Raw genomic sequence first — 20,969 nt, 5'->3', positions numbered from 1 at the left:
GTAGCCTTCTGTGTCTGGCTTCTTTTACTTCATCCATCTTATAGCAGGTATTAGTAGTGTATATCTTTTCGCTGCTAAATTATACTTAATTGTATAGAGAAACCATATTTTGCTTACCTACTCATTGGCTGGTAAACATTTGGGTTGTTTCTACTTTTTGCCAATTATGAATAATGCTGTTGTGAACAGTCACATACAAGTTCTTATAGGGATGCATGTTTTCATGTCTCTTGAATGTATAGGTAGGGGTGGAATTGCTAGGTCACATGAAAACTCTTGTGTTGAACCTTCTGAGAAGTTGCCAAACTGTTTGTCAAAGTGGCCGCATTATTTTATATTCCCACCAGCAATAAAAGAATGCTTTTACTTCTTCATATCTTCAGTAATGCTTACAATCTGGTTTTTAAAAATTGTTATTATTATAGGCATCCTAGTGTGTGTGAGTTAATATCTCATTATGGGTTTAATTTTCACTTCTCTGATGACTGACTAATAGTGTTAAGAATCTTTTGCTATGCTTATGGGCCCATTTGTACATCTTCTTTGGAGAAATGTCTATTCAGATCCCTTGCTTATTTTCAGATTGAGTTATCTGTCTTTTTGTTACTGAGTTGTAAGTGTTCTTTATGTTTTCTTGGTACAAGTCCCTTATTAGATACATAATTTGCAAATATTTTCTCCCATTATGTGGATTTTCTTTTCACTTTCTTCATGGCATCTTTTGGAGCACAGAATTTTTTAAATTGTGATGAAATCCGATGTATCTATTTTTTCTTTTGCTGCCTGAGGTTTGGTGTCTTATCTAAGAAATGCTTGCCTAGTGCAAGGTCCACGAGTTCTGCCTTGCATTCTATAGATAGATATTTTACAATCTATAGATATATAAAAACTTGTTTTTACAATGGACTGCTAACCTGTCCTAGAGAGAGATTATACCTTGGTATATTTTTATACTTGCAAGCTTAAATCACTCACCAGCTGTGTCTACACACGGAGGAAAGAGAAGGAAGGTACCAAAAAGTAATGCGGAGCTGGTGTGCTCCAAGCACTTTACATGCTGTTCTCAGTTTGTGCTCACTAAGCAGGGAGACACGACTGTGCCTCTTTTATTAAAGAGTGAGGCTCAGAGAGGGTAAATGACTTTGTCCCAAATCACCCACTGCTGGGGAATTGGATTCAGGCCATTTTTCTCCAAAGCCATGACACTACCCACCCTCTATGTGCCAAACAGAATCTGCACTCAACCTGCCTTCTGCAGACATCTTTGACAGGCACGGCAGTCCATGTGGTCTAGCTGTAGAACTGTCCCCCTTGCCTGTGGAGGCACAGTGTGGAGGCCTTCCCAGGCCCCTGTGGGGGAGCGCTCTAAGGGGTCTCTCCCGGGCACTTCTGCTGGGAAATGGAGAGGACCTGAGCCTTGGCTTTGTCTCTTTAGTTCAGAGCAGGCACCTGTCATATTTTCCTACAGGTCTTACAGACTTGACAAAATGCCTTTTTCCATCTGTTACAAACATGAAGCCTAATTGCCTCTGTCACCTTCTGGCTGTCAGAAGCCATTTAAATGCTTGGCACTTGAAAATTTCTGATTTCCCAGGCAAAGGTGTCACACTTTAAAAGTGACACCATGAGTGATAGCCGAGGCAATGGCTGCCCTCTTATTTCAAAGAGAATTTAAAATGCAGGCTCCTGAGCCTCCCTTCCATTGTCAATGAGTACTTCATACATACACATGGGCATATGTTTCCTTTTAAAAATAATTTCATCATTATAACTTGTAAAAGACCCTGACTGCTTCTTTCTAGTCATTTTTTTCTGCAGCTTTGTTTCAGGGCCCAGGAGAAGAGCTAGAGCAGTGGGGACTGCCTAGACAGAGGCAAAGTCTTTTTCTATTTTCCTTCCAGTAGCCCCTAGACTGCCCCTCTCTCTCCATTTCGTCCCTCCTTTCTTTGCTTCCTCCCTCCTTCCTCCAGTAAATGCCATGGGCCAGCTCTTGACCAGCAGAAAGGACTCACCATGCCTGCCCTAGAAAACACAATGCATGCAGAAAGTTCTGAGATGCTGGTGGGTGGGAATGGCCTCATGAGCACAGGAGAGGGAATGGCATAGAAGGTGGGAGAGATCAGGGTCACCTCTCAGAGGACAGTGCCACAGGAGGCATGGCCTGGGCTGAGTGACTGAGGTGGCTCCATGCAGAGAGAGGGGAGCCAGGGGGAAAACTGGGAACCACTGGGTGCAGAGGGACCATCTGAGGAGGAGGTGGCTTCACTAGAACCTGGACGGGGCAGCAGGGCACTGGATGAGAAGGGCACATGTGAGTCCGTGAGCCTGCTTAGATTCTGGAACCCACATCACACAATTCCAACATTATCCTCTTCAAATCCTCTTCAAATAAAATAATTATTATTATTTTAAAGAGATGCAGAAAAAAAATAGAGAGATCATGGGCTTTCGGGTTGAAGAAATCTTACTGACTCTTGCACTGACAACTTGATAATTGGCTTCATTCTCTGGGTCTCCATTTCCTCATCTGTAAAATGGGTATGTGCTATGTTTCAAGGTGTGGCATCAAGAGCATAGGCCATGGGGTCCATCAGCCCAGATTCAAGTCCAACACCCCCTCTAACCAGCTGTGTGTTCTTAGGAAAACTATTTAAAGTCCCAGTGCCTTAGTTTCCCCTAATGTAAAATAGGGATGAGAATATTTACCTCATTCATTTGTTAAGATGAATTGATGAGATAACATGTAAAGTGCATACATGTTTCAAGTTTACAATAAATAGTGGTAGCAATTGTTAAAATCAATTGATATTTCAAAGAGTTCTTGTGAAAATTAAGTAACAGGTTCAAAAAATACTTGATAACTGACAACTGTATAGTGTTTTACAGGTTATAAAGTATTACCAATAATAAATAATGATAACTGACATCTGTACCATGCTTTACAGGTTATAATTATTTATTATTGCTACTCAAACAAAAATAAAATTTTCCAGCCTAAAAATGGTTCTTGGGATTGAAATATTGTTTTGGCCAGAACTATTTCTATAGCAACTAGGCCTGCCTACTCATCGCTCTCCCTCCATGTCTGCCCCACGCCACTAAGTGTAATTAGTTGTGGCTCAGTGGGCATGGAAGCAGGCGCTGACAGATGATTTCACACCCATCTAGTCGGTTATAACTGGATGACACTGTTTTAAATTACATCGAGGCTAGTTTCGAGTTTGCTTTGGCAAATTGCTATCAGCATAAACTGATAACAATAACAGAATCTTATCATTAGAAAAAAAGTATATGCCATGAAAGTATTAAGGCATCATAGAATGAGAACATTAGAGGAAACTGTAATAAAAGTCATCATAATGCTGTTACAGATCCTACCGTCATTTTGTGCTGTTCAAGCACACTTAGAAGTGATTGGGCAAGGTTTAATGGCATTATTGTTTAGGAGGTGAAAATACCAGGGCAGAGTGTTTAAGAGGCCTGACTCCGGTGACGTGGGGAAGCTAGCCGCAAAGGCCTTATTGCTCAATGTCCAGCCGCTGTTTCCACTTTCCCGGTGCCCACAGCCTGCTCTGCTGCAGCAAGCTAGTCGATTATCAGGATAATTCCATGGGCATCTGTGAGCTCCTTCTATGTGCCCAATGCTGCAGGGAATCAAAAACGATTAAGGCCTTAAGAAAGTTTGCAATCTACAAGGAGGGAAAGATTTTTTTCTTAACTTGCTCCCTGTCTCTCCTGCCCTCCGTCCCTTCTTTTCCTCCGTCTTTCCAGTGGACCTTTGCTAGTTGCCCCAGTCATGCAAAGTGCCAAAGCTAGCTGTCAATAACTGGCCAAACAGATACACTCCTGCCTTCTTGGAACTTACAGTTTTTGAAAGTCAGACCAATAGAAAAGATAAGGAAGGTTGGTGTTATGAGACACCCTTGAAAAAATTCCCTTCATGCGGCCTGACAACACCCAACACCACCAACACCAGCACCGTACACCCTACACCATACACCACATACATGGGAAGACTTTGTCTTTTGTCTGTGTCCTTAAACAGAGTTCACAAGGATCTCTGTGCCCTTTGCAGAAGATAGACTCTAAATTGGCACCAAGGGAAGATACAATACAAGGTTTCAACATTCCTGGCTACAGCCCTCTTTGCTTAGAAATGAGATGCCTGTTTCCTCCTCTGCGCTTCTGTTGGAGCTGTGTTCTCTTGAGTGGGGCCTGTGTGACAATCCGTCAGAGGCAGGAAGGCTTACACAGGAGTGCAGCTACAGGAAGTGAGCAAAGCAAGCAACATTGCAAACAACTGAAATTGGGTCCTGCTCAGAGAACTTCCCAACCTCTGGGAACACTGCTGACCTCTTCATCAACCCTTGCATGGCTGAGAACAGTAAGATCTCCCCCGATGTGGAGGCAGTGGGTCTAGGTTGAGCAATGACAGAAGAGAACAGCTTGAACGAATCAACATATCTGTGCAGCTCTTCGCAGCAGACAGTTGTGGTGGACATAAAGCGGCTACTTTTTTTTTCTTCTTCTTCCTGAGAATAATTTTAGGGCCAAAAGACCTCCCGAAGATTCTGATGACATACACATTTAGGTTCCACTCCAGCTGGAGAAATCAGCTCATCCAGATGGACCGCTGATCCAACTTTGGAGATGTTCCAGAAACATAAACTTTTATCTCCAGAGAAACAATAGGGTCTGCTCTCCCCCCAGATGGTTTTCATAGTTAGCTTATTGTCTTCCCCAGAGGTGAAAAGTCACCATTCACAATTTATTTACTTTAATTCAAAAGGCACAACCTTCATTTATTCTTTTACTGAGGGATAGTTACGGATCACATCTTTGGGGATAGCCTCTGTGCTAGGCTCCATGGTCATGGTTAGACATACTCCTGCCTTCCCAAGCTCAGGCTCCAATTTGAAAGGAAAGAAAAGCACCTCTATCTGGTGGGTCCCGTCCTATGCGCCTTGCGCTAGACCAGGAGACCAGGTGGGCTGTACACATTATTATGTATGGACCCTCATGATAAAGTAGTATTAGTAACATCACTGGGCTGAGAGAAAGAATCAGAGAGTCCCACAAGATCACACAACTCCTAAGTACTTCAAATCCTCTCTTGCTCGTTACTCCAATACGCAATGTGTCCCATTCCTAGGATGCAAATAAAACACCAAGTGGCCTTCTGAGAGGGAGCAATCATTGTTGGTTGAGAGGCATCTAGGAAGATGCATGGACATCTTCCTAGATGTTAGCACTGGGTTGGGCCTGAAGGGACCTGCCCCATGCCCTTGCAGGGGGAAAGGCATCCACACAGGAAAGAAAGGGCAGTGGTGAAGTGCATGAGGAAGAGGTGAGGGGCTTGTCTACAGTGCACAGTGGTAGGGGAGTTCCTATGGTGAGTGGGGCATGGAGGCCTTGAGTGCTGACATTGCCATGGGGCTGATAAGGAGGGTGGAGAACAGATTGATGAGCTTTGAATGCCAGGAAAGGGGTGAAGTGGTTCCTGTGGGAAAGGGATGAAGATGGTCCTGAGTTTGGGGCAGCTGCTTGAGGAGGATAGCAGCAGGGCCTGAGTCTTATTTGGAAACACAGGGCTGAAAGAGGATGGGAAGGGAGCATTGGCGGGGAGAGGTGGGACGTGGGAAGACCCAATGGGAGGCTAGTGAAATAGTGACAGCAAATTTCCTACTTCCAGAGCCCATGAGCCTAGGCCTAGTGGTGTCACTCATCAGCTGAGTGACTGGAGGCAACTATGTTAAGCCCTATGAGTGCCAGTTTCTTCAGGTGAAGTCTAGATACATAGAGTGAGTGGAAAGACTAAATACGTAACATACGCAAAGGCCAAGTTGCATTTCCCCAATATTCATTCCCTTTCCTTTCTGTCTGCTCCTTGAACACAAGTATTTCCAGCCCCAAACTTTTGTACCAGTTATGTCCTTTGCCTGGTGTTTTTTCCTCTTGATTTTCATGCCAGAGTCACTCTGGACTCATTTCAAATGTCACCTTTCTAAGGGGAGAGTTCCTCTTACTGTCCCCATGCCTTCAGTTCCCTTCTATGACTTTACTCATTTATTTCTCTAACTCCATACCCAGAGAAATGCCTAACACATTGAAGGGGTTCAAAAAACTGTTATTAAATTATTGTATAAGTGGGTCAGCACTCATCTAGCCATAGAGGGGGCAAAACTTTACTCTCGAGAACTTCTATCTTGTATGCGATCTTGAAGGTCATATGGTTTGATATGGGAATCCCATCAACAGTTTTATAGCACCAAGTGTCATGCCTTGCATTCAATAAGTGGTATTGAACTTCTCTACCAAATGAATTAGCTTACACTTGGTTTTCTCCATCGATAGAAAGCTTTCTAGTTCCCAAGACTGCCTTTTCCTTCTTCCAAACTTTTGAATATTTCTGTTGAAAGAGGAAAACAAATCAAGCTATAAAGTAGGAATGGAAATCTGCTCATACTGGACCAAGCTGTGACTCTGACCCAGCATGGGGCTGCAACATCACATCTGCCGCATGATGCTGAATTGCCTTAGGAGCTCTTAACCTCCTAGAACCTGGAACTCCTCCGAGACCTGAAGCTGGAGAAGTGGCTTTTTATTGCTTCCCCTGGGAAACCCATCAACACATGTTGGAGAAATATAACAACTGGCTCCTGACAACGTGAAGTATGTAAAGCTAGTTTTTACATAGGGGAACATTTCACTTTAATAAGGTGATGACCACAGCGTAGTACTTAACTGAGTGACTCTCAATCCTTGCATGGCTGGCATTGTTATTATTTGCCTATGGTCATTAGTCTGGGCCCCAGTAGTTAATTCTAATTAATTTGCAAAGCCCTCTGGAAATCAGCTGCTTCCTACACAGATGGTACTGGGTGTCTTTTTGAGTCCTAAAGCCTGACCTCCTGACAGTGTCATTCGGCCAGTACAGCAGAGCCTGGCCTGACTCCATGCTTACACTTGACGTCCTTGGTGGGGGCATCACCTGCTATGTGTTTTTGTCTTTGCTTCTTGTGCTGACTCAGTACATGGACCTAGAAGACCAAGCTGCTGGGATGGAATCTGATGTGGTCCCGCCATGCCTCAGTGCCATGAAGTTCCTGTGTGAAACCAGGAGCCCTAGAGGTTTCTTGGTCTCCTCTACTGGCCCCCTCCCTACCGACATCTTTCTTTACACCCTGGGGTTTTGATATGTGTGTCTGTCTCCTCTGCTAGATCAGAAACTCCTTGAGGGCAGGGAGGGATGGAGATACATTCATGCTCTACCTGAGAATTCTCTCCCCGTCTGTCCTCTGAATATAGGTTATACATACACGAAATTTACAATAGATGTTGGCTAAAGTGAGTAATTCAGCAAATACGTAATGAACATTGTTTTGTTCTGGGCCTGGAAAACAGAGAAAAAAGAGTGTTTAGCTTTGAACTCCTTGAGGGTAGGGCCTAGTCTTGCCTGGCACACAGTACAGTTACATGCATAGCGTCTGGCACACAGTGAGTGCTAACAAAATTTGTTGAATGAATAACTGAATGAATGTATGGAGCACAAAATGCATGCTTGAATAAATGACAATATTCTTGGACTCGAGACTTCTTGATGGATTAGAAGAAAAAGGTGTGTGAATCACTGAGGAACAGTATGGAAAATGGTTGAGAGAGGAATGGTTAGGGTGGTGGAGGAGCAGGGAAGACATGGAAGCGAACTCACAATACAGTCCTCCCTGGCTGGGCCTCTGTTGTGAGAAGTCCACCTCCTGCTCTTCCTCTCCTGTCCTTAGGCAGCTCGTGGCTCACATGCTCCCACCCCAGTTCTTGACAGCAAACTGCTCCTCCTTTAAGATGCAGCTCACAGGCTGCCCATACTGTAGCTTCCAAGCCCTAATTCCCAGGGACTCCTGAACAGACCACAAACCAGTTCCTCTTCTTGGGTCACGTGTATGATGGTGGAGAGGAAGGATGGGTGACACAGCCACCCAAAGGAGCCTTGCTACACAGCAGCTTCTTAGATGTGTACCAGAGAGCACAGGCAGACGTGCTGCAGAGCTGAGTCCACACAAAAGCAGGAAAACCAACTGCCCTCAGGGCAGCACTTTACAACCCAAGAAAGAACAACCTTCACACGTGTCTTATTTTGGGATGGGTATGATCCAGTGGTTCTCAACTGGGGGCAATTTTTGCTCCCTAGGGCACATTTGACAATTTCTGGGACATTTTTGGTTGTCATGACTTGGAGGGGTGCGGGGGGCTCCTGCTGTCTAGGGGGTCAGGTCCAGAGATGCTGTGGCACATCCTCCAATGCACAGGTCAGCCCTGCAACTCTGCCGCACACACACACATACAAACACACACACACACACACACACACACACACATACACACCAGAGAATGCCCTGATCCAAAATGTCCAAAGTGCTGAGGCTGAGACCCCGCTTGGGGTTACTGAAAACAGAGGCCTAAGATTTGAGTCACCTGTCTAGCGTGGCATCGGGCTTCAGCCCTGCCGTCTCTGGTTGGGCCCAGGGCCAAAACCTCCATTCCATCCCCCTGCTCTGGCACAGCCCAGGCTTTGGGATAGCACAGTGCCCAGTATGAGGAACACTTTCTCAAACCTACTAAGTTTCCTCGGTTACTCCAGGAGGCGAAAGGGAGGGTCATAAACACCCCGGGCTGGGGGTCAGGGGAGGTTAGCAGCAACCCTTCAGTCACCCAATGACCCACTGGACAAAAACAGAGAAGAGCCTGCGGCCCTGACCTCCAGGGCTCTGCATCCTGCCTTTCTCCTTCTTCTGTAGCTTCTCCTGTGAACGGGACCCCTTGAACAGGAACCCACTCTATGGGCCTCTCTCTTGTCTGCCTCTGCCTCTGACTTGAACATCTTTAGGGCTGATTGTCTTTCCCAAAAACTTTTAAAGCTTGTGTGAAACCAGCAGTCCCTTCTGCGCACACCTCTCATGCCCTGGCTTGTCCCAGGGCTGGCTTCCTTTCCTCCTACAGTTCTCAGCCTAATGATATCTCTAGAGAGAGCCCATCCACCCCACGACTGGCCACCTGTGCAAAGTAGCACATCTGCGCCCCTCGGTCCCATCAACCCATTGAGTTTCTTTGATGGGTCGCCATAATTGATAGTCACATATTCAGTCTTTCCCATAGGACTCCTCCTAGGGGAAGTAGTAGAATCTGCTGTGTAGTACATATTCAAATAACCGCCACCCCATAATGTTCTTTCTAGTTCTTTTCCCGTGACCCACACTTTGCACCAAGTCGCCATGTCTCTGTAGTCCCCTTTAAATTAAGTTAAGTACAGGGAAGGGCAGGGCTTTTGCAGTTGTTTTTTTTTTTTTTTTTTTTACAGCTAAATCCCAGTTTGTGGAATATGCCTTGCTCAATAAAGTTTTACTAAAGAAATGACAGGGAATAAATTCAGAGCTTCATCTGTACTAGATTCTTTCTTGGTAAGTGTCTATTAAAAAGTCATCACAAAACTCATACCTCTGACTATCAGTCTAAAGCTCTTTTACTCCTCTGTGTGAATTTGGGGGAAAATCTCCACTTCTGCATATTTCTGCCTATCCCGTCTTCCCTGTAAAGCAAACTGCCCACTCAGTCTTTTGCAATAGTTCCTTTGTACCTTCCCAGCATGCTCTTCTTGAGCGGGTGTTTTCACAAGTTGTCTAAGGAACCATCTCTCTAGTGCAGAGTGCCTGCCTGCTAAATTTAGAAGCAGCCCTGAGGGTTTTGATTCATCTTTGCAAACTACCCCAAGTGAGGTTTCCAAATGACTGTCCCAGGGTGGCTGTGTCAGCCTCACTGGACTGGGGCCTGGGTCACCGGCCGTAGATTCTGGCCCTGGCTCTTCTTTGGGACTAGCTGTGTGACTGTGGACAGATCACTCAAGTCTCTGATGCTCTGTCCACTCTGTGAGGTGTGAGGGGCTGTGAGGGGCTCTGAGGGCCATCCCAGTGTGGTTACCTGGCATTCCAAGCTCAAGCAGGCAATTCCCAGGCAATCTTGGGGTCAGCATTCCAGAAATTTTACCTGTTTCATCAATAAGCTCTGAAGCCCCATGTGCCTGAGTTTCTCTGCTTGAGACTCACGTACTGTAAGTAGGGAGATTTTATATGCAATATTTACATAATGTATAACATATACAACATACATTTTATAATATATAACATAAAGACACACGTATTTTAACATCAAACTCACCAAAAACTTGCAAGAGTAGAACAATGCACACCTATATCCCCTTCACCTAGGCTCACCAAGTATTAACATTTTGTCCCGTTTGCCTTCTGTCTCCCTCATTCTCTTCCTGTGTCTTGATATATAGATGTAGATGTATTAGGTTGGTGCCACAATGATTGTGGTTTTTGCCATTACTTCTATGGCAGAAACCACAATAACTTTTGTGCCAATATGATGGCTGTAGATATAGGGATGCAGCTTTTCTTTTAACAAACTCTTTGAAAGATATAGCCGTCATGATACGAGACATCCTCTTGGTCACCGCATGTCCCCTAAGAACTAGACGTTCTCCCGCATAACCACACTATTATTACCATGTCCAAGAAACTTAAGACTGGAACAGTATTATCAACTGTGCAGTATATATTCAAACAACTGCCATCTCATAATGTTCTTTCTAGTTTTTTTCCCTTGACGCACACATTGGCACCAAGTCATTGTGTCTCTTTAGTCTCCTTTAATCTCAAAGCATTGCTCTGGGGTCCATTCGGCAGTAACAGAAGGAAGCTGCAAAAATTGGGAAACCGAAATCAGAGAAGCTGCAGCTCTTAGCCACAGCCTTCGTGGGCCCAGAGAGTTCTGGGGATGTACAAGAGCAAATTCACAGCCCCATTGATTTGCCTTTTAATTAGAGAAAGAAGACCAAGCTTCTGAAATTCCAGAATCCAGAGTTAAGCTGGCCATATTCTCAAATGCTTTGTAAAAAAATTAATAACCCATCTATCTTCCCAGTCCTTGCAGAGAGAAGCTTGCTCAGAGTGGTTACTGAAAACAGGAACCTGCCCTTCTGCAAGCCCTGTGCCTTCCTCGTTCCTAGCAGAGGAAGTATGCGGCCAGTTTAGCAACTGCAGTTCTTCTGTGTAGCATGGGCTGCTTCTCCACAACCGCGAGAAGCCCGGCTGCCTGTTTATTCTGGAGCAGCAGCAGTTGACAGACGGAGAGGCAGTGACTCTGCACCCAGCAATCCCTCTGCAGACAGCTCCCACAGGAGTCATGCCCAGTGTGTGAAGGTATTTTGGGAGTATGTGGCAGAGATGGGGTGGGGAGAGACTTCAGGGCCTCTTCAACACGCAGTTGGCAGGGGTTGACTTTCTGGAGTCAGAAAGGAGCTCCCTGAGAACAGGTGGGGCAATGTCTTGAGAGAAGCCCAGCCCCCAACCTGGTGCCCAGCACACTGCAGTGGCTCAGTGGGTGTTGGATGCATAATTCTGTGGAGAGAAGGGCTGGAGGAGCAGGGGCAGGATGCTGCCAGAGGAGACATTCTCGCCAAAAAGGCTTGTACTTAGCAGGCTTCTTACAAAGGATAATTGGGATTTGCCATCAGAATTCCTAGCTGTGCGACCTTGAGGGACTCATTTAAACCTCTCCAGACCTTCATTTTCTCATCTGTAAAGTGACAATGATGGTACCTAATGCACACAGGTATAGGGCAAAGTGAAGAAATTGACATATGCTAGGTGCCCAGGCCAGTTTCAGCATACAGCAGGTGCTCAGTAAACGCTATCAGGCTGGAGTCATGATGTCTAAAGGTGCATGGAGCCAGGTGGGTTGAGGGATTGCAATAGCGCTACTTGGAGTGTGATTGTATGCATCTTCTTTAAGAAGATGCCGAAGATAATTAATAACAATCTGAGCAGGTGGTATGTGTATGGGGAAAAGGAGGAATCAAAGGAAAGGCAAACATGTGAAGTATATAAATTCTGAAAACAGCATGTTAGAGTTGGAAGAGATTTAGGACAACGGGAATTTTCTAAGAAATATGGCACACTCCACATTCTTTTAGGTGTCTACATATGGAGAGAGCCTGGTGTCAAAGAAGTGACCTGAGCTTTGGCCTCAGAATGTCCTCATTTGGGGCTGTGCATGGGGGTGTCAGGAGGTGATATCCACCATCCCGAGTGGCTGGGGAGGAGCAATGCATAAAAAGTTATTTTTCTGCAATCCTCAGAACAATCCTATAGGATTGTGATTGTTATTTGCTTTTGAAAACTGAGGAAATGAGGCTCAGAGAAGTTAGGTGGCTTGTCCAAGTCACGGAGCTGGTGGGAGGTAGAGGCAAGTGAGGGGCTCTAAAGGGTTGGGGGAGCCTCAGCGAGAACAAGCGGATGCAGAGCTGAGGCCTGTGTTTAAAGTGGTGCCCTTGACTTTAGGAAAAAATGCACCCCATAGTCTTTAAATTGTCATTGTGTGGTTTGCTATGAGATGCTGAGCTGCAAGTCTATTAAACTGGGCTGTGGTCCTTCGAAAAGTGGAGAGGTAAGCCCAGGTAAAAATTCTGGCAAATTTGTTGCAACTAATAGTCTCCATTTAGAAGAATGCTATTTAATACAAAAATTAGCTGGGCTTGGTGGCGGGTGCCTGTAATCCCAGCTACTCGGGAGGCGAGACAGGATAATCGCTTGAACCCGAGAGGTGGAGGTTGCAGGTTGCAGTGAGCTGAGATGGTGCCACTGCACTCCAGCCTGGGCAACAATAGCGAAACTTCATCTAAAAAAAATAAGAAGAAGAATTCTATTTAAGAGTGCTTAATATGCTCTGAAAGTATAATAATATTAAAAACCTATGGAATAGACAAATTGAAATCTAATTAGATTCCTTCATCTTAAACAGATCTACAATCTAGATCAGAGCAGCAAGATGGCAACATAGAAAGATTGTGCCGTAATAGCTGCACCTGTGTCAACATTCTGGGTCGGCCACCAAAGAACTCTGTGACTCTGTACAAGTCACTTTGCCCCTTCGAGTATTTTCCTTGTAAAAAGAAGACCAGTTTCTCTGTATGTTTGAAAGAAGTTTACATGTACTATCTAGGAGATAATAGGTACTAAATAGGAGCTATTGGTATCATTTCTAAATCAGACAATTAAAATATATCCAATCCCTTTTACATTTCCTAGGCAGAAAGCTATTAATAAACAGTGTTAAATATGATGGATTAAACAGCTAAAGCAATGAGTGGGGCACTCCTCCATTTTTCTGAATATGTATTTCTGCTTGTTCCTCCCTCTGATATAAACGAAACAGACAGGGGTAGGTTTGCATTGCAGCAAACTAAAGTCGCTTTCCGAATAACACTTTCCTAAGTCACTTTCAGAAGAAAACTTCCCCATTCTAAATTGTGAAATCTGGCAATGTATTTCCAAGGGAAATGAGCCTTTTTAAAGACAGAAATTATTCATTCTAGTGCACCTAAATCAGTGCCCTGCATTAATAGATGCTGCTGGGTTTTATGTTTTTATTTGACATTCATCAAGAATGTATTTCTCCCAGCTCTGAGAGAGGCTGAAACTTAAAGTTCCCATCAAAACTTCCAGCATATTTCAGACCAAACCATTTGGTTCTTGTTAGCAGCCCAAGGGTCCTGTTCATACATTTATCTGTCCATCTATCTATCTATCCATCTATCTATCTATCCATCTATCCATCTATCCCTCTCTTCCTGCAATAAAATATCCATTGAGGTCACATCATGTGATCGACTTCCTCCCTCTCTCAATCTCCCTACAAGTTCCGAAGGAAATAAGTACACTCTGTTCAAACCACTTCCTCCTATCTGAGAACCGCTAAGGGAGGAGGCAATTTGATTATGGTAATTCTAGCTAAGACAGCAATTTTAGGGGTTGGGGGCTCAGTGGTTCTCTTTTGTTGTCAAACAGCTTTGCAAAGTCACACTTCGCTCCTTAGCACCAGGCAGACTGCAACCAGGGCTGGAGGACTTGGTGTGTATATGTGTGTAGAGGGGGTTGGTGAGTGAAGTTGGGAGACTTAAAGAGCTTCCGAAGAAAGTGAGAATTGTTGCTGGCTTGTGCTTAGGGGCAAAATAGCTACCTCAGACGGTCCAGGCTTCCCTGGAAGTGGACCACCTCTTGCCTATACTGTGCCAGGCAGTTTATATACAATACCTTCAGTCATTCATTCTAACTAACTGAGCTTGCATTATGTGCCAGACACCGGCTAGATCATGGCTTTTCATTGAGGAATATAATAGACATGAACCCTATCCTAAGAAAGTTGCCCTGGGAGCAGTAAGCATTTAGAGAAACAAATACATAAGGACAAATCGTGGTATGTGCCGTGAAGGAAACAGAGCCAGGGAGAGAGAAGAGAGGGGACCAAGTGTAGTCAGTGCAGTCGGTTTCATTTAATTCTCCCACTAACCCTGGGAGCTGAACGTGTTCCCTCCAGTTTGCAGGTGCGCCTCCTCCCCCCACTCCTCCCCTCTCCCCGCTGCATGCCATCCAAGTCACATGGACAATCAGCTCAAAATAGGCATCCTCTGAATGCAAGTTCCAAGCACCAGAGTGTGTGGACCCACCTCTCATTGCACCGCTCTATCCACAAACCTATCAATCCACCTACTGAATAACTATGACAAGCATAACCCTCTAGCACACAAAAGAGTACCATAACCTTGCCAGAAAAAAGGAGAGCTCTGCTTTAAGCTGCCCTCCATCCCTTTCCTCAGGCCTAAGGACACGGTAGCTGGGAGCCAGGCTCTAGAGCCAGATGCCTGGATTCCAGTACCACCTCCAGCACTTTCCAGCTGGGCAAACTCCGACACATTATGTGAATGCTCTGGCCTTGGTTTCCCCGGTTAGACAAAAGGCCTCAGCGTAATGATGCATACTCCAGAGAGTTGTGGAGGTCAAGTGGAGAGTACATGTAACACACCTAGGACACACAATTCCTCAATACGCACTGGTGCCCCCTCTCCTGTTGTTGTACACGAAGCCTCATCAAGGGACGGCACCAATCTGAGGTGGACACAGGGAGGCCTCCAGCTGGCTCCCTCACTACTTATAGAAAGGCGAACTGACACCAAAAGAGGAAAGTGACTTGGCCACAATCTCAGGGGAGTTGATTGGCCCACTGTGGGTTCTAAAGACAGAAAGTGCAGAAAATGAAAATTAGATAAAATTAGGGGAAACAATTGAGATAAATTTCCTCTCACAGTCTTGGAGCCACCCATCCCAGTGATTTTATGACAAAGTTGACAACTACTGTCCAGAGAGAAGGGACAACTTCACCACGGTCAGGAGCGGGGGTGCCTGCAGACACGGGCCAGTGTGCACACCAGCTCCCAGGCCTGTGTGCATTCTCCTCTGGTCTTGCCAGCAGACCCAGCTCTTAGAGCATCTGCTTTTAGAATTAAAGTTTTATTAAGCTGGGATGAAGGTATTACTGAAGGAATTAGGAGTGGGAGTAAAAAGACAAAGGATTTACAGGCTAGACCCAGCCCTGAACAAGCCTTGTAACTCTGAGCAAATTACTTACCTCTCTGAGACTCAGATTCCCATGCTGGCCCCAGCCCTGAGCTAGCTGTACGACCCTGAGCAAGTCACTTAGCCTCTCTGAGACTCAGTTTTCTTGTCTATAAAACAGTATGTTCTTGGGGGCATCAAATGAGTCCGTGTATTTTAAACATCTCCTTTAGGCCCTCCGCATAGTGGATGCCCACTTAGATTAGTCTCTTTTGTTTTGAAAACAAATAGAGAGGCCTGTGGGCAACTGTTCCAAAAACAGATGCTTGTTGGGAGAAAGATTTCATAAAGAGTCGGTTCGCTCCAGTGGTGTCTGGATGCGGCCTGTGCTGGCTTATGAGACCGCTCCACACATCTTTTTCCTACTCCGTCCTCAGAGATGTCACACTGGAAACTGGAAGTCAGCATGGTGGGAGTATTTACACCACAGAAATTGGCACACACTATTAGGAATTTTTCCCCCTGAAACATTGATTGTTTGACATTTACTAGCACACCACAAATCCGCGGTCTCCTAGGCCCACATTGTTTCTTCAGTTCCTTTCTTTTCTTCTTTTCTTTTCTTTCTTTCTTTCTTTTTTTTTTTTTTTTTTTTTTTTTGGAGCTGGAGCCTTGCTCTGTCACCCCGACTGAAGTTCAGTGGCACAATCTCGGCTCACTGCAACCTCCATCTCCTGGGTTCAAGCATTTCTCCTGCCTCAGCCTCCCAAGTAGCTGGGATTTCAGCACCTGCCACCACGCCCAGCTGATTTTTGTATTTTTAGTCAAGATGAGATTTTTGCCATGTTGGCCGGGCTGGTCTTGAACTCCTGACCTCAAATGATCCGCCTGCCTCAGCCTCCTAAAGTGCTGGGATTATAGGCATGAGCCACCACACCTGGCCTTTTTCTTCTGTTTCTAACTGTTCCCTTTTATTTCCCTATGGAGCATCTACTGAGCCCCAGCCGAGAGTAGAAACAAACCTGCTGGCTGCTCTCAAGGCACTTATAGTCCAGTAGGGGAGACGGTCACTCACCACTCAGTCACACAAATGACCGTCGAATTGTGACCCACCCTAAGGCAATTGGCTTTCCTGAGGAGCTAAGGAGGGAACAGGAGCTAAGGAGGAGCACATTAATAGCAAATTAAAAACATCATGGAGATCTCTTTAGAGAGACCAAGCCCCATTAGACCAAATGCCTGGGAGCTGTAGAGTGTGGGGTTCTGGGGTCCATGTCCCTGGACAAGTGACTGACAGTGAGGGGAGATCCCAGATCAGGTCACTGGCAAATGCTGTGTCAGGTGAAATGCTGATTCCCATCTTGCTTGATAAGTTTATGAGTAATGCTGTGATTCACATGTACGAATAAAAAGGAAAAGTAACTCTTGCTGGGAAATACGATGCAATAAAGAAATCACGGACTTTATAGTCCCTGTGCCTAGAAGCCTGGGTGACCTTTAGGATGTTCATGAAAGTTTCCATCTACCTCCACCTTCTGTGATGAAACCTGCCTTTCTCAAGTATCCACATTTGAAATGAAAAGAAAAGGCCTGTTTCCTAGTCACTGTTTCCCCATTCTATGTAATGGCTAGGATTAAAATAATTGTCTTTACCACTCTTTCTTCATTGCCAATGTTTGCTAGGCCAGCCTGCTTATATGATCTAGAGGTATCCAGGACCTGGCCTAGGCCAAACCCCATTTATAGCCTGGTTTTGTCAGCAAATTTGTTCTGGTCCAACAGAGCCACAGGCTGACTGGGTGGTGCCCCACCTCACCATCCCTGTGTTGGGGGCCTCTGTGTACAGAAAGTCTATCTAGAAAGAAAGAAATGGGCTCTTTTTATTTCCATGAACTATCAAAGCCACGTCAGGAATGGCTTCTGCTGCCCGCCTCCGTATGCCAGACAGCTCTTCATAAGACGCCCACTCACTGTACTGACACGTCTGGGTCACTGAGCCCCTTGCGTCAGTGTGGTGGTGAGCCACGGAGACTGCAGGGTGTGCACAGCCCTCAACACCTCCTCTTGCCAATCCTTCCATGAGAACACCCAGGAAGGCACATATGACTATGTTCATTAAAGACAAAAACAAAAACAGCAGAAAGAGTGGTCTAGTGACTTAATAAAGAATGGAATTAAAACTTGCCCCAGCATTGACAGGCCTCAAATCTGGCTTCTTTCCATGATATCTTAAAATGACCTTAAAATGTACACTAGGACACCTCCATCCCCTTCTGGTCTTAGCATAAAGCCCAGCCTCTCTGTTAGCCTGAGAGTGTATGAGATCCCCTCCTGGGCACTCAAGGGTAGAGGGGGCCAGCATACAGGCTCCTGGACATGTGGGTCAGGTCTGCAGCCTGGTTGACAGATAGATGGGCATTGCCCCTCCTGCAGGGCATGGAGTGCTGGGCAGGGAGTCATGCATTCATCCAAACTTAATGTGTGACCTTGAGCAGATTGCTTGCCCTCTCTGAGCCTTTCCCTTGTCCTGTGAGAGTGTTGAGTTGCTACTTTTCAAGTGATGCTTTATGATGCCCCAGGATTGAGGTATCCTATCAAGAGTAGTAGAGGGATGAGATGCTGAGCTGAGCCCCCAGCCCCAGGCAGCTACTCCCTTTCATCTATTCTATGTATTGAGCTTCTAGGGAATCCTTCTTTCTTTTCCTTCTTTCTTTCTCTCTTTCTTTCTTTCTCTCTCTCTCTCTTTCCTTCCTTCCTTCCTTCCTTCCATACATACTTCCTTCCTTCCTTCCTTTCTTTCTTTCTTTCTCTCTCTCTCTGTCTCTCTCTCTCTCCCCCTTCCTTCCTTCCTTTCTTTCTTTCTTTCTTTTTCTTTCTTTCTTTCTAGATGGAGTCTTGCTCTGTCACTCAGGCTGGAATGTGCAGCGGTGCGATCTCAGCTTACTGCAGCCTCTGCCTCACGGGTTCAAGTGATTCTCCTGCCTCAGCCTCCTGAGTAACTGGGATTACAGGAAGCTGCCACCACACCCAGCTAATTTTTGCATTTTTAGTAGAGATAGGGTTTCACAACGTTGGCCAGGTTGGTCTTGAACTCCTGACCTCAGGTGATCCACTTGCCTCAGCCTCCCAACATGCTGGGATTCCAGGTGTTTGAAATATCTTAGGTAAGAGGATCCCACGTTCTTCCCCAGGGGTTTCTGAGGGCCTCTGGCTTGGAGTCAGGCCTGAGAAGAAGGCTAGGAGTTGCATGTCCTCTCTGAGCTGGCTGCCTGCCCTTGTAGGTCTTGCCAGTGCCCCTAGAGCCCCTGGTATGCCGCAGCCCTCCTCTGCAGTGTAGAGAAAGGAGAAGCAGATGGGGGTGGGGTGGGAGCAGGTAGAACAGGCCTGCGGCTGCACCTGCCCTAGAGGAGAGCAGGGGACTATGTGGGTCACGGGGTAAGTGGCCTCGGCAGCCCCCAGCCTCGCACTCAGAGAGGTGCACCTGTGAAGTGAGGTCAGGATGTGGTGGGTGACCCCGGAAATCCTGCCAGGGAGACCACCGGATGCTAAGCCCCTGTGCCAGCTCTTATTTTTCCTGAAAGGAAGGGTCAGACCACAGGCAGCACTGAGCAAGTCCCTAGTCAATTGTGCCGGTACTGGGTACAGTCACGGCGGGAAAATGGTTGAGGCAAAAGAGCCATGACCAACTGTTCAGCCCAACCCTTTCCCCATCAGATTTGAGGACTCTTTGGCCCAGACAGAGGAAGGTACTTGCTCAAGCTTGCACAGTGAGTTAGCCAACCCCCCAGCCCCTGCACGGGATCTAGCTTTGGTAAATTTTTAGCTGCCATTTACCAAACATATCTCTGCTTTAGATATGACCCATAATTTCAACCTCAAAACAACCCCATAGGGCATATACTTGTATCCCAAATTAGTGGATTTGAAAATCAAGGCTCAGAGAAGTGAACTAACTTGCCCAGCGATACACAGCCAGTAGGTTGGGAGCTGGAATCTGCACTCAGGCCTGCCTGCTTTGAAAATCTCTTCTTTAAGGCGCCCTCATTCTTTCCAACCTTTTGATTATAAAAGCAATTCAGGCACTTGGGAGAAAATCTGGGTATTTTAGAAATGTGTAAGTAAATAAGAAATTTATAAATTCACATATAAAATCACTACCCAGAGAGAGTCCTTGGAAACATTTTGGAAATTTCTCTTTAATATTTTTCCACGTGTATGCATTTGAGTGGCACATTTTTATGAAACAGAGATTCTAAAAGCACAGCTAGTATTCCTTTCTGTTTCTTTTCTTTTGTTTTGTTCCACAGCAGTAACAGCTTTTTTTTTTTTTTTTTTTGAGACAGAGTCTCGCTCTGTCACCCAGGTTGGAGTGCAGTGGCGAGATCTCAGCTCACTGCAAGCTCTGCCTTCTGGGTTCACGCCGTTCTCTTGCCTCAGCCTCCCAAGTAGCTGGGACTACAGGTGCCTGCCACCACGCCCGGCTAATTTATTTTTGTATTCTTAGTAGAGACGGGGTTTCACCATGTCAGCCAGGATGGTCTCGATCTCCTCACCTCGTGATCTGCCCGCCTCAGCCTCCTAAGTAACAGCTTTTAAAAATAATGCTGTGAAAGGCTAGAAAACATTCCTTGCGATTCACTCCTGCCCTTTTGACCACAGCATGCCTCAACTGGCCTCGCTCTCTTGTTTCTTCTGCTCCCAGCAGCACTTCTGCACCCCTCATCCCCGCTGGAAACCCAGACCCGGGCTTCCAAACACTGCCAAGTGACATCCAAGAGATCCCTCAGGGCCTCCATTGTATTAAAGTTTCCCCCAAAGTTTATGCTTCCTAAGGTTTGTTTTGATGACTTTTATTTTACTTTTTTATTTTATTTTATTTTATTTTATTTTATTATTTTTGAGACGGAGTTTCACTCTTGTTTCCCAGGCTGGAGTACAATGGCCTGATCTCAACTCACTGCCACCTCCGCCCACTGGGTTCAAGTGATTCTCCTGCCTCAGCCTCCTGAGTAGTTGGGATTACAGGCATGTGCCAACATGTCCGGCTAATTTTTGTATTTTTAGTAGAGACGGGGTTCCTCCATGTTGGCCAGGCTGGTCTTGAACTCCTGACCTGACGTGATCCACCTGCCTCAGCTTCCCAAAGTGCTAGGATCACAGGTGTGAGCCACCGCGCCCGGCCTGATAACTTTTAAAAATCACTTTTCTGTTGCCTTCTTGGGTTTGAAAATCTCTTCTTTTCTGTCAGAGGACAGCAAAACAGGGCAGCACTGGTGGCGAGTTAGAGCACAGGTTTTAGAGCCAGGCAGACCTGGCTGGAATCCCAGCTTTAGCTCTTCCTAGCAGTATAACCTTGGACAAGTCACTTAATTTATCTCAGCTATAAAGTGGGGTTGTTCTGAGCAACCCAGGACATACTGGCTGGACAGTACTTAGCTTTGTGCCTGGCAGAGGATGCTTGCTGACCAATTGTGGGATGGGGGTGTTCTGGTCATCACCGTTGTTGTTGGCATTCACATA

At 45.8% G+C, this 20,969-nt stretch overlaps 2 protein-coding genes across 16 annotated transcripts in view; one reads left to right on the top strand and one right to left on the bottom strand.

Moving 5' to 3' along the window:
• TG (thyroglobulin) overlaps nucleotides 1-20,969 on the bottom strand; it is a 267,942-nt gene that overhangs the window by 48,789 nt on the left and 198,184 nt on the right. The window lies entirely within an intron of this gene.
• SLA (Src like adaptor) overlaps nucleotides 1-20,969 on the top strand; it is a 65,875-nt gene that overhangs the window by 16,492 nt on the left and 28,414 nt on the right. For 3 of the 7 annotated variants that reach the window (XM_047422110.1, XM_047422107.1, XM_047422108.1), the window contains exon 1: nucleotides 11,084-11,258. The exons of 3 other annotated variants lie outside the window; for them this stretch is intronic. The gene's annotated coding sequence lies outside the window, so the exon portion shown is untranslated. Of the gene's footprint in view, nucleotides 1-10,980; nucleotides 11,259-20,969 lie in introns of those variants that run through there. One more of the 7 variants, NM_001045556.3, reaches the window with a different exon arrangement.

The sequence above is a fragment of the Homo sapiens genome, chromosome 8 (assembly GCF_000001405.40).
Source record: "Homo sapiens chromosome 8, GRCh38.p14 Primary Assembly".
NCBI classification, from domain to species: domain Eukaryota; kingdom Metazoa; phylum Chordata; class Mammalia; order Primates; family Hominidae; genus Homo; species Homo sapiens.
The sequence above is the reverse complement of the archived record's forward strand: the minus strand, read 5'-3'. Positions and strand labels throughout refer to the sequence as shown.